Source organism: Homo sapiens, chromosome 2 (genome assembly GCF_000001405.40).
Source record: "Homo sapiens chromosome 2, GRCh38.p14 Primary Assembly".
Classification (NCBI taxonomy): domain Eukaryota; kingdom Metazoa; phylum Chordata; class Mammalia; order Primates; family Hominidae; genus Homo; species Homo sapiens.
The window spans coordinates 157,731,549-157,745,936 of NC_000002.12; the positions used below are offsets into that span (position 1 = coordinate 157,731,549).

At 40.1% G+C, this 14,388-nt stretch overlaps 1 protein-coding gene across 7 annotated transcripts in view, besides 1 other annotated feature; it reads right to left on the reverse strand.

Moving 5' to 3' along the window:
• Positions 2,377 to 3,576: an enhancer, noted in NCBI's record as "BRD4-independent group 4 enhancer chr2:158590437-158591636 (GRCh37/hg19 assembly coordinates)". NCBI's record gives its function as "activates an origin of replication core promoter dependent on BRD2, P300/CBP, MED14 and CDK7 cofactors, and independent of BRD4, by STARR-seq in HCT116 cells {active_cell/tissue: HCT116}" and the evidence as "EXISTENCE:reporter gene assay evidence [ECO:0000049][PMID:35650434]".
• ACVR1 (activin A receptor type 1) overlaps positions 4,898 to 14,388 on the reverse strand; it is a 139,885-nt gene continuing 130,394 nt past the window's right edge. For all 7 annotated transcript variants that reach the window (NM_001111067.4, NM_001347665.1, NM_001347664.1 and 4 more), the window contains 2 exons: positions 6,892 to 7,022; positions 4,898 to 6,117 (listed from right to left, as the gene is read on the reverse strand). In NM_001111067.4, coding sequence (NP_001104537.1) covers positions 5,983 to 6,117; positions 6,892 to 7,022 — 266 coding nt within the window. In that variant the 3' untranslated portion in view covers positions 4,898 to 5,982. The remainder of the gene's footprint in view (positions 6,118 to 6,891; positions 7,023 to 14,388) is intronic.

Genomic DNA, 14,388 nt, shown 5'->3' on the forward strand with positions numbered 1-14,388 from the left:
CATGTTCTCACTCATAATTGGAAGTTGAATAATGAGAATACCTGGACACACAGGGAGGGGAACATCACACACTGGGGCCTGTCGCAGGATGGGGAGCTGGGGGAGGGATAGCATTAGGAGAAATACCTAATGTAGATGACGAGTTGATGAGTGCAGCAAACCACCATGGCACGTGTATACCTATGTAACAAACCTGCATGTTCTGCACATGTATCCCAGAACTCAAAGCATAACTAAAAAAAAAAAAATAGAAAATTGTTGCTACTGGGGAAGGGGAAAATGAAAGCAGAAAATAGCCCAGGATTGCTGGGTTTTATTATAAACCTTGTAGAACACTATAGACCACCTGACATCCCAAATCAGCACAATACTCCCATAACTTCAACCTTCCAAAATACAATCTCATTTTAGAAAGATGAAAACTACAAAAAAAATGAAGAAATAACACAGAGCAACACCACTCAGAGATAATCATGTTAAATATTTTGGTATAACTGGATACTTTTTTCTAGGCATTTTTTCAACAACTGACTTCCTATCTGGCATGTAAATTGGTATCCTGAATTCATTTATAAAAACACTAAAACTAAATAAGAGGAAAAGATCATTTGCCGGAAAAAGAAAGCCAACCTCTCCCAATTCATAACACAGCAATTCAGTATGCATATTCTATTGAAAAGAAGTCGATAACATTTTCACGCAAAAAAAAGTAGAAAAAATGTGTAATCTCTTTTAACAAACAGCAGCATACAGCATATTAATTAAGAGTCCAGGTGCTAGAATAGTCTACCTGGGCTCAAATCCCAACTCAACTGTATTTTTGGTTGTGTGATGGACACTATTATAACCTCCACAAACCTCAGCTTCTCTAAATGTAAAATAAAAATAATAATAGTACCAACCTCCTAATATTTCTATGAGGAATACCTGTTCAACAGTAAGCAAATAACCCAGCATGTAGTAAATGCTCAGTAAACATTAGCATTGTAATTATTATGATTAATATCTATCTAACGGGTGAGACAAAACAAAAATACGTAAGGCCAGCAGAATAAACAAAGGGATTTAACAAAGCCAAACGCAAAGGGTCACCAGTGTGAGAGGAAGCACAGGACAGAAGCCTCTCTTCTCTGGTATTTGACACTAAAATTTATTTGTCAAATAAGTGAATCATGGATGCACTTTAAATTCCAAGCTGAGGAGTTTCCAAGCAACTTTAGTGACCTCATCCAATAAGAGAGAGTTGCATGGAGAGGGTAACAGTTATTCAGAGTGATTCGGCTAATGGAAACTGTCAAAATGACAGTGCAGCAGGTCACACTCTACAGTGTAGGTCTTGCACAATAGGACACTCCTCAAAAATGTGAATTCATTAGGTTTTGAAATACAGCTGACCCTTAAACAGCACGGGTTTAACTACATGGGTCTACTTATATTCACAAATTCAATCAAAAACAGTATTCGCAGGATGTAAAACCTGCATATAGGGAGGGCCAACGTTTCCTATGCAAGGGTTCTGCAAGGCCAACTGTGGGACTTGAGTGTGCATGAATTGGTGTCCTGGGACCAATCCCCTGCGTATACCGAGGGACAAGTCTACTGTATCCTCGGTCCCTGGCAGAAGGAGAATAAGAGTCAGAATGCTTTGAAAAGAAAGCTTGGGACCCAAAGAAGTGCTCACATATAACACAGGCCTATAGCGATTGAGAGAGTCCTTCAGGGCATTCCAATTTCAGTGAAGAAATTATTTTGGGATAGGGTGAGAGGCAACAGGAAGATCATCCCTTCTTGTTGGGGAGCAAATATTCTAGAAAAAAAAGAGATTTGCCCAGGACTTGTGTCACTTGATCTTCCTGTGAAATATAAACACATTAAGAAATAAAACAACAAATGTCGGGCCAAATGCCCTTTATTTTCTTAGTCCTTCTCCTAGGGAAATATATAAACTGAAAGGCAAGGGTGGGGATAGAGGTGAAGGAGTCACAGGTAACTGAGAGAGCTCTAGCCTAAAAACGTAGTAATTATCTGATTTTAGTTCTGCTACTAATAAGCTGAACAATCACACTTCATCACTGCAGCACTTTCTGGTGTGTAAATTGGAGATATAACACCTGTTCTACCTACCTTAATGAGTACCACAAAAGAGATAATGAATGGGATAATGCTTCCATCAGTCCAAGTCCAGTCAGGATACTACATCAGTTTTTTGTTTTTCAGTAGAGAGAATAGTTGACTAGGAATAACAAATTATTAGTTACATAACAGAAAAGGCCAAAAAGACATTAAAGTGGCATGGAGATAGCCAGGCATAGAGGTGCACGCCTGTAGTGCCAGCTACTTGGGAGGCTGAGATGGGAGGATCACTTGATCCCAGTTTGAAGCTGCAGTGAGCCGTGATTGCACCACTGCACTCCAGCCTGGGTAAAAGAGTAAGACCCCTTCTCAAAAACAAAAACAAAAAGTACCACAGAGGAATCAACTAGAGACAGCAGCTTGGTATGGTTGTGTCCCCACGCAAATCTCATCTTGTAGTTTCCATAACAATTGCAATCCCCATGTGTCATGGGAGGAACCCAGTGGGAGGTAATTGAATCATGGGAGTGGTTTCCCTCACGCTATTCTCATGACAGTAAGTTCTCACGAGATTTGACGGTTTTATAAGAGGCTCCCCACTTTGCTCAGTTCTCATTCTTCTCCCTGCCACCATGTGAAGAAGGATGTGTTTGCTTCTCCTTCTGCCATGATTGTAAGTTTCCTGAGGCCTCCCCAGCCATGCTGAACTGTGAGTCAATTAAACCTCTTTCCTTTATAAATTATCCAGTCTCGGGTATATCCTCATAGCAGCATGAGAACAGACTAATATACAGCTACACCAAGGCTAAAGGAACAAAGGGAAGTGGTTGGAATTACCAGAACTTTGAGGTTTAAAGGGGAGCACCCAGAGAGCTGATCCTTGGGCCTCTGAGGAGGAGGTCCTGTTGAGCTGGTACTGGTGTCTCTGAGTTTGAAGGCAGGGCAGCCGTCTGAGGTGTGAACCCTGGTCAGTCAATACTGGCATCTCTGAGGTAAGGGCACAATAAAGGTGCTTCTGCAAATTTTAGAACAACTGCAAACTAGATTCACCTACTGCTACTGCAAAAAATGGCTGCTGCCGGGGTTAAGAAAGGAGGCTGGGGTGAGGCTGACAGAACAGGAAGCAGGATGGAAGGGCCAAGTCTCTTCAAAAAGACTCGCTTGAGGGGAATGGTAAGAGCTCTTTAAATAGAATGAGTTATTCACTCTCTCCCATTTGTGTCTTTGTTTTGCTGAAATATGCATAATACTCAACAGAAAGACTAAAATGAAAAGGAAGGACATACTGTTGAAGATGGAGACTAAAATGAAAAGGAAGAACATACTAAGTACTGTTGAAGATGCAGAACCAGAACTCTCATAGTCGGCTAATGGGAATAAACACTGAATAACCCTTTGTGAAGAAGATGGTTTGGTAACATCTACTAAAGCCTAACATACACTGGACCCTATTACCCAGAGAGTGCACTCCTGCATGCACACTTCTGGTATGATTCCATTTATAAAGTCTTCAGTAAGAAAAGAATATGATCAATGCTTTTAGAAGTCAGGAAGGTGGTTACTCTTGGGGTTGGAGAGTGAGGTAGCAGCAAGAGGGAGACTTCTGGCATGCTCTGCTTCCTCATCTGGGTGCTGCTTCCATGGATGTAATAAATTCATAAAAATTCATCAGGTTGTACACTTTTATATATGTATACTTTGATATATGTAATATTTTAATAAAAGTTAAATGTAATGCCATTCCATTTCTGGGCATATACCCAAGAGAATAGAAAGCAAGAACTCAGACATTTGCACACTCATGTTCATGGTGGCATTATTCACAAAAGCCAAAAGATGGAAGCAATTCAAGTGTCCCTCAGTGGATGGATGGATAAACAGTTTGTATATACAAATGTGGAGTATTATTCAGCCTGAAAAAGGAAGGAAATTCAAACACATGCTACAACATGAATGAACCTTGAAGATATAATGTTAAGTAAAATAAACCAGTCTCACAAAAGGACAAATACTACATGATTCCATGAGGTGCTTAGAGTAACCAAACTCACAGAGACACAGAGTAGAATAATGGTTGCCAGGGACCAAGGAGGGAGGAATGGGGAGTTACTGTTTGACAGATATAGTTTCAGTTTCACGTGAGTTCTGTGGATAGATGATGGTGATAGTAGCACAAGGTGAATGCACTTAACATACACTTAAAAATTAGTAAGTTTTATGTTATCTGTAACACAAATTAAAATTTTGATTTGTAATTTAAAAAAATGTCATTCTAATATATACCCTCCAAGTAAATACATCCTAATGAAGTTATTAACTTACCTCTGGAAGACATTCCGGCATGTTCACACCTCTTCTCTTATTGGGCTACTGTTAACTCTACCTTTTAATCTTGTGTACAAGCAGTGAAAAAACCGAGAACGGACTCTCCCAAGCAGCAAGGGCGGATGCATAAGACCACTTTACACTCACGTGGAACCTTTCACTCAACAAAATGCTTTAACATCCTCCTTCCCGTTTACACTCACAACACCCCCCTGTGAGAAAGGCAGGTCAGAGAGATTTGTTACCCTCACCTTACAGCTGGAGAAACTGACTGAAAAAAAAACACAAAAAAACAAAAAAATCACAGCCAAAGGAAGAAACAAATTTTCTTATACCAAATTCAAGCTGTAAGACATCCTTATGATGTCTTACATAAGTTCATGAGTAGATTTAAAAAGCAAATTCAATTTACAAATTAGTTTTGTGCTTCTATTGCTCCCATAAGAAAATGCATAATGTTACACAGATCTTTTTTATATTTTGAAAAACAATTTCACTGTTTGACTTGAAAACAGTTTATTTAATTTATACAAATAACTACTAAATACAAAAAGTAGATTAAAACAAAATAGTTATTTTTTTCTGGCAGAGTTTAAATGCACGTAATGGATAATTCTGAAGAAAATGCATTTTCCCCGTAGCGTTCAGGACTAAAATTCTACTGAAATCTTTGCTTCTAAATCAGTAATATATTCGGTGGTGTCACGTGGGTAATGGCTAAATACGTTCTGCATATGAACTGAAAAAAAGTTACAGTCTACACACATACAAATGTGAAGCACTTAAAATGTGATTTTAACTGATAATAAAAGAAAATGTCCATTTTAGAGTATAGTGTTAAAAACATTTCTGTAATAAAATCATAAGACCACATAAAAATAAGCTTTAACATATGCACAAAGCAGTTTTGTAAAAACTACTAAGTGCACAAGTAATAAATAATTTGCAAAGTTGTGTATAAACAATTCCTAATGTTCGGCATCATTGTAAACATCAGCACATGTGTAAAATGCAGCAAAGTCTGACATTACATTTTGTTTTGCCAAATTGAATTCCTATTATCCAAAGACAGACCAGTGGAGTACGCAGCCAACATTTTGGCAAGTTGGGTCTTTAAAATTAAGAGTAACAGTGCAAGTAAGGAATGCAAAGAATTCCTAGTGCAATAAAGAAGAGAAGCACAGGCAATATTGCTGATTAAAAATTCACCACCTCCTTGAGTTTCCCGTGGGGAGTGTCTAGGAGACTTGTGAAAGCTATGCAAAGCCACTGACTTAATGCCCAGATCTCTTTTAGGATTTCTCTGTGTTCCTCCAGTCCCTACCTTTGCAACAGTGTCTGTCCAACATTAGTCTCTGCAGTGTGAACAGTTCGTGAAATGCCCAGTTCACAGTCATCGAGCGAGGTTAGGGTGGTTTTGATGTCTCCCCAACACATGGCTGGGTACGACGTCTGCCTTGTCAAAGCAGCCATTTGGGGAGGGAGACAGATGGATTCCATTCTGACAACCAGTCAGGCCAGCATTAGGTCCCAGCTGGACAATGACAACAACGTCAAATCTTCCTTCTTGACACTATGAAAATGTCAACAGTCAGTTTTCAATTTGTCGAGGGAATTATCAATTTTGGTCAAAGTCTTTTTGATACGCAGTGCTGTGAGTCTTGCGGATGGATTTTGATACCAGCATTCTTTCATTAGCTTGGCCAGAGAGGTTAATGTCTGAGGAGAGAAAGAACAAACACCACAATGACAAACTGGCTTTTTAATGGCCCTGGAAGCTGGGCTGATATCATGTCTACTATTCTGAAGAACTCGCAGGTCTTGTGAAATTAGAGTTATGTTACTGTCATCTTCTTCAAGCAAATATTCAACCTTTAACCACTGATAAAGAGGCCATTCTTAGAATTTCATGAACTCTGTCCTTTGGACTCTTAATGCTACCAATTTATTAGGTAAACGACATAGGCCAGATTGGACCCCTTAATGATTTTATGGGTGCCAAAAGCAGCAATACTAACCTAGAGATAATCCTGAAATTTCCAAATAGGGTCATTTCTCATTGTTTTATACCTGCTACTACTTATGAGTAGCAATACAGGATCTTCAGCATCCAGCAGCTTGTGTTTGGGATTTCAGATATACAGAGATGGAAAGGAGGTTAAAAGCTTCACTTAAAGTCTCTTGGTTTATACATGCAGTCTTAGGGCTAATAGCAGTAGTCATGAGTCTCCCGATTCCTGAAGCTGCATATTCACAGAAATTCTTACAAATATTGTCATTCACTAGCAACCCCTATGAGATATGGCTTCTTCAAGAATGGAGTATTTTTCTGAACTTACTCTTCTAGATCTAAACCCTTCTATATAAAATAGGAAGAGAAAACAACAGATCCACGGGACAGATCACTCAGATGCAATACCAGTTGAAACTCAAAGGGAAACAAATAGCAAACAATGGAAAAGAGCTCTAAAACTGAGAAACTGGCATTCTTACCGGGTCTGAGAACCATCTGTTGGGTATGTTTGGCCTTTGTTGATCCACACAGACTACCTTCCTCATATCTTCAAAACTTGGGTCATTGGGAACCACATCGTAGAACGGTGGCTTGTAATCCTCCACTATACCTGCACACAAGGACAAGAATTGTGTTCGGTTAGCAAGAGAGTACAGGTTGCCCCAAGGTTTCATTGATGGGTGTCACAGGTTATAATGTGACAGAAGAAAATACTAATCACCTTCCTCATACCTCAGGGCAGTCCTGGAAGCTAGAGGTAGGTCCTAAAACAGGTGGGAGAAAAAGGCAATAAATACACACCCTGCATGGTATTGGAAGAAGGATAATTGTTAGAAGGAAATACGTGAAAACTTCTCATGTAATCATAACTATTAGCAAAATTCTCCAACAGTGTATATTAACAGCTCTGTAACGCCCAACAGGGCACTGGAGACATAGAACAAAAATTCCTTTGGTGATAAAAACCACCCAAGCTACCTATGGAAAGTACCTGAATCTAGTGGTTTCAAACCATAAATAGAAATAAAAAGTTGTCCACAAACTAGAGCTAGGGAGTAATAAACCAAGACCATCATCAAAATACCCCTTTCTTTGTTAGAAAAGTATTTTGTTAAGAAAAACATTGCTATAAATTAATCTCTTCCATTAGGAGGGATGCAAATAATATCATAGGAAATACTCATTTCCTCATTCATTCATTCTACATGTACTGAGTACCCTCTAACTACAGGCACAGCTGTCTGACTGATGGCTCTATTATTTACTATCATATTGAAGGCACAAAATAAAATGTAAAGAGGATAGCCATGTGGGAAGGCAGAGGAAAAGAAGGATAAATAATGAACTCTTCCTCTGCCCAAAAGCAAATATGAACAGTAGCTAATACCAGCTTCTGCCCCTGCATGATTTCCAATGGCCTGGAAACTTTTTCTTTTCCAGCAGAATTATATCAACTCCTTAAACAGAAAAATTTTTAACTTCATCATTTGGAATTAGAAAATGGATTCTTCCCCTTCATAGAAATAAAACCAAGACATCTATTATTTCCTTTCCCTCAACAAAGGGTTCAAACAATGAGGTAATAACTTGGTTTACTGCTCTCTTTTCTTCCTCCAGGCGACTTTCTTCTATTCCTAAATACCTAAGAAGTTGTTGGAGGCGACAGAAGGAGTGTGAGGAAAGTTGTAATTCGGTTGTTCTAGTTCCTACAAGCCACCTGAAAAGCTTCAATTCCCTTTTCATTTATCACAGAAATTACTCAACAGTGGGAATCCATCCTTACAAATTCCATACAAATACAAACCATTTATGCAAAAGATTAGATATAAGGAGCATCTTTTCAAGAAATGCTACATATCTTTTTAAAACTTCACAAATTTGGCTAAATAAAGGTTTATATTTGAGATGGAAACAAGTCTAAATTATATTTTTTAAAAATCTAGGCTGGGTGTGGTCGTTCACGCCTGTAATCTCAGCACTTTGGGAGGTCGTGGTGGGTGGACCACTTGAGGTCAGTGTTCGAGACAAGCCTGGGCAACATGGCAAGACCCTGTCTCTACTAAAAATACAAAAATTAGCCGGGTGTGTTGGCGCGTGCCTGTAGTTCCAGCTAACTCAGGAGGCTGAGGCACAAGATTTGCTTGAACCCGGGAGGTGGATGTTGCAATGAGCCAAGATCAGACCACTGCACTCCAGCCTGGGTGACAGAGTGAGATTCTGTCTCAAAAAAAAAAAAAAACTAGTTAATTCCAAATAACTTACCCACATTGTGTAACTGCATTTGAAATGCATATCAGTCAGTGGATTAAAACCTTTCCTGGCAAATCATAAACATCATATTGGGTATAAACTGCTACTCTCAGAAATCTTGGAACACCTCATCTTAGAGGCCCTTCTTCTCCTGTAAGGATCCCAGGAAACATTCAAACAAAAATCTTTTAATTATTTTCAGTACTAACAGACACCATCTAAAATACAGCTGAACATGGACCTAGAGAGATATTTTATGCGTTTTCTAGGGTCACAAGAATTTACAGAAAACAGTAAGACACGTGCCCTTCACCATCTCTCAATTTTTCTGAAAGAGAATATATTTAATAGCCTGGCTTAATATTTAAAAATCTAGCATAACAGCCATCTTTTTGGAGTAATTTACCTGTTGAGCTTAGAAAGGGTTATGTGAATGTGAACGGTAATACAAAGTTGAAGTTTTCTATAAATGCAAAAGGAAACAAAGCATGGCTGGATTTTTAAAACATGAGATCTGGTGATACCAAACAATGAATTTCACTATACAAAGCTGAAGTTTGCCCTTGTGTTTCCGTTTCCCATGTTTCAATTTTATTAAATGTCCCCATGTTTTAATAAAAGGAGTCAAGTATTTTTAAAAGACCATTTAACTGATTATCCCTGGGATTTAGTCAAGCCTCTTTTTCCTCAATCATTGGCCAACTGTTGATTGTTTTCACCTGACGCTGGCCATGCTTCTCCAAAATAAAATAAACCTGGGATTAAGCTCTAACAGTCACTACGAACTCCCTCTGATCAAGCAATAAATCAGTTGAAAGTGCATTACTGCTATGGTAGGATGCCGTATTAAATGCTGAGAGTGATAAAAATATAAGACATGCTCTTGTTTTCCAAGGAAATCAAAAGTCTAGTGGAAGAGCAGGACAAGTCTCTCATTTTTTTTTCCCTGAGACAATGGAAATCTTGTCAAAAAGAACCTCAAAATCTTTTTTCACCCATTTACTTTGTACCTTGAAAGGCAAAACTATATTAGAAATTCTCATTCTACTTTCACTTGTGAGATCCTAAATTGACTCAATGGCCATTTTGATTAGCTGGGTGTGCCCGAGGCTGTGCTTGGCAGGAGGGATAAAAGATGAAAAAACGGTGGCTCACGCCTGTAATCCCAGCACTTTGGGAGGCTGAGGTGGGCAGATCATGAGGTCAAGAGATCAAGACCATCCTGGTAACATGGTGAAACCCCGTCTCTACTAAAAATACAAAAATTAGCTTGGTGTGGTGGTGTGTGCGTGTAGTCCAGGCAACTAGGGAGGCTGAGGCAGGAGAATCGCCTGAACCCAGGAGGCGTAGGTTGCAGTGAGCCGAGATAGTGCCACTGCACTATAGCCTGGTGACAGACAGAGACTCTGTCTCCAAAAAGAAAAAAAAAAAAGAAAAAAGAAAAGAAAAAGATGCAGTGTTGGTAATGAGGAGCAGAATAATGAGAAAGGTGAAAGAAAAAAAATTACAGACTAGCTTTAGAGGGAAGAGAACAGAGAAGACAGTGGGGAGGGACAGTGGCACTTGGCAGGGCTCAGAGGAGGAAACACCTCCATGGTATCACAAGTCCCCATATATAAACTGGGTGCCGTGGAAGCACAGGTAAGCCTTCCAGGAGGGAAGTGGGGCATGGGCAGAATAGAAAGGTCAAGAGTTTGCAAGGCAGAAAAGATGACAGGGAAGAGAAACCCCTACGGAGTGGGTGCATTCCAGGCAGAGGGAGGCTATGGGGCAAGGACAGGAACTGACAAACCATCCTCTGACGTTGGAGAGGTGGAGAGAAGTTCTCTGGGGCTGAAATAGGTGCATGTGGTGGCAGGAGAGCCGGGGGAGAAGAAGGGGACAGGAGGTGAGGCCAGACTGCGAGGTGACACCTGCTGTCAAGGTAGGAAATGACTGATTTACAACAGTGCCTCATTTCTGCCAGAAAGCGATAATCAGCGTAGCCAGGCAAAAAAGTGAACTCTAAGTCCTTTAGAGGCAGCACCCAAGAAGTTACTGCCAAATCGTGAGCCAGCAAAGAGCACAGCATGAATTCAGGCAAGTAACTAAAAATACAAAGCACTTCAAGTGCCAAATGAGCAGTGCAAACAACAAATGACACAGGAAGGCAGGGGAAGAGGCGCTCTTAAATGGTGGCCAGGGACGGAACAGACTGAGCCAGGCCTCGCCTCCCATGTAAGGCGGCCAGCGTGACTCAAAGGGCCACGAGAAAGAAATAAAAAACATTATTCATAACCTACTCCCCCACAACTTTTGGCAGGGGTGTCTGATTTATACAATAGTTTTTTCCTGGGCATATGTCTAGTTGAAAGTTTTCTCTTTTTTGGGGTAAGCCTATCTTTATCAACCAATATCCCTCCCATTAGTTTGCTATATGGCTCTGAGTAAACCCCTTAGCTGCCAGGCCTTAGTTTTCCAATACCTTTAAAGCACACACCACAAAGCCAACGTGCAGATCAAATATGTCCTAGACATGCACTTTGAAAAGCATGAAACGCCAGTAGCCTCTCAAATGTCCAGAAACAAGTCCTTCCTCAAGATCTTGCCCCCGAGGTCCTGAACTAGACAGCCATCTTCTTTCCGCTTGACAGCTGCATGTGGGACCCGCAGGTCTCTCTGCATCAGTCCTCCCCTGCCAACCTCCACCCTATCCCACTGCCCTCAGTGAGATCTGTAGGAGAAAGCTGAAAAAGGAGTTCACCGTGCCCCTCCTCTGCATGTTTTCCATCAGTGCCGTCCATGGGAGCCCACTCCCTCCCCACCAAAGTCCATTCCCCACCACTGTCCTTCACATACCTGGACATCAGCCACACCAGAATTACTTGTAGTTCCATCAACAGGGCACCTTTATGGGATCCTTCAGCCTACCTTTTGTCTGGCATACCAACTGTCATCGTGGTCAAGTTTTATTTCTCATTCCCACCTGCACCTCACATCCTCCCAAGCTTGTCCAACTAGGTTCTTATTCAACCCACAGATGACTCAATTCATGCTTCTCACCTTCTGAGAAGACTGTCCCATCCTGCTACCACAACACAGGGGCCTAGACAAAGTTCAGTGCCCTCACCCCCATACTCAGTCACTTTCCTGTATACCTCAACCACAGTGACTTGATCTATTTATTTATAATAATTTGACTCTTCAACAAGAATGTGAGCACCTTTAAATCGGATATTCTGGGGATTTTTTGCCCAAGTGCTTCCCCAGAGCCTAACACAACACCTAGTGTATTACAGACACTAGATACACAAATAAATGTTGATTATATATGTCCATAATCCTTTTTCAAAACTCTCAAGGTTAGATGCATTTGCCAAATTTGGAACTTTTTACATTTTATAAAGGTAATAGCATACCCTATATTTTATGTAACATCCCCAGCAAAGTCTAAGGAGTATCCCCATGATCAAATATATTTCTTCAGCAAAATATATGACCAGTCACACTAGATGGAATAAATAAAGGTTATACACTGACACACGTCCATTCAGGTCATGTTTGACTATCACATGAGTTCAGGTCAAGTGTTCTGTCAAATAAGTTATGAAAAAGCTTTCGAGTTTCAAAGTTTTGGGGACTTCTCAGTTGCAGATAAGAAACTGTGGACCTGGCTATGCTTTGAATTAGCCAAAGGTAAGGGAAAGAGGAACTGATGGGAAGTTAGAGCCATGAGAATTCCATCCTTCCTTTCCTTCAAAAGAAATTGAGGGTCACATTGGAAAAAGTACTTTTCAAGTTCACAGCTAATTAATGGCAAAGTTAAACTAGAATCCAATTTTCTGTTTATATTCTAGAATTCTCCCTTACAAGCCACCCATGGGATAATGAAAGACATTTCTCTCTCTCCTTGCATCTCATGCCACAGTGTGCCTACTTCTCATTACAAACTCTCTTCATAATCCTCCAACTTGGGTAGTCACATCAGATATCCAGGTAATGAGGACAGAGTCTCTGGCATGTATATCCATACAAAGAGCTATTTTTAACAATTAACTCCTACAGAAGCGCTGAAATCCTTCAGAGGACAGAGCATTAGAAGTAAAGCTATTTTAGAGAGGGAAAAAAAGAAAATGGCCCATATTTGGCATCTGAGAGCACTATAAGTGAATACAGTGTTTCCTTCAGGTGTGGCACGTGAGAAAATTTGATGTGGTTCATGGACTAAACTTTTTCATCTCATTAGTTACATATTTATTTTCATAGTTATCTTCCATTTTATGCCATGTGATACTGGTTTTCCATTTCCAGCAGTGATAATAATTTCCTTTCAAAACAAAATTAACTTTGAAAAGAGTTAGCCAATTTGAAGGAAAAGATTCTGTAAATGATGGCACAAAGTAGCATTTGGATATGGAAAAAAATGATGAGGGCAGTATGAATGAATTGGGAAACACTGAGTTCACAGAAAGGCATCATTCTTCCTGGTGAGACATGATTCAAAAAGGTATATCCAATATTTGGGTTACTTCACCTAACATACCTCACAAGAGGGCTTCGAGATATTTCTCATGCCACGGCACAGATAAAACATGACTAATGAATAAATGGATGAGGCTGTTCATGGCAGAGGGGATGACAGCCCGAGTTCTGGCCGCTTGGCCCGGCCACACTGCCAGAGGGTTATGAGAATCAGTACCTCAGGCATTCCTGTAACTCATGGCAGGCACTTCTTCCTGAAAACAGGAGTTGGAAAGACAGCCTTGTCCCATGCTGGGTAAAGTACATGCTGTGACAGCTGTGTCCTGCCCCTCTAGCCCATTGTAATTCATGGGCTTACGGAGCCATGTACATTACTCAAAGTCCAAACTAATTGCATTCTCAGGAATCTGTTAAAATTATAAAATTAATTTCTATTGTTGGAATTCTCATCGATGTAACACAGCAAAAGTAAATGGTTTATAGATTACTGTGTAGTTGGACCCTACTAAAAGCATGTGTCAATATTACTGTAAGTTGTCAAAGGAGAGGGCAAAAAGCCTAGAGATGCTGCATGGCTATTCCCTGGGTTAAACTATGAACAAGACAGCCTTAGAGCTTGCATACCTCCAAAATCGAGAAAGAGAGGAGCACCACAAGAGTTCCAAACATTTGGTAGCTATGAAGAAAGGCTTCTTCAGAAAAATGTATCATTCACTGAATGTTGTGGCTGTTACAAGGTTTAGGATACAGATATTTCTCTTGGTGAAAGACTGCTTTTAGAAGTGTGTCAAGGAAAAGAGACTACTAGTCAGTAAACAGCAGCCAATAAAGTTTTGCAGCCTTCAACTTATTTTGTCATGAGGTTAGTTGACTACTCTCCTCTGTTCTGGATCTCTAAATCAGGGACATGAAATTCCAGGAAGTCAGGGGGAAAATAATTCTTCCCTCCCACCCCACCTCCATATTCCTGCCCCCAGTCATTGTCCTAAATGTTAAAACAAACAAAAAAACTGAAATTAATGAATACAAAAAATTGGCCCTAATATGATTTATCCTCTTATGCAAACCTTAATACACACAAAAGTAGGTAATTAACGTCATGAAACATGTTGGATATTGAGTTGCTGACAAAAATAGGAGTTGTCATGGTTTCCATACACAAGCCCCATTGCACTTAGGAGCAGAAGCACAAGCAGCTCCCTGGCTGACTCAAAGATTCATTAGAAGAGGTTCTTTTTTCAAAGTAAGTGCACCAAATATAAGCT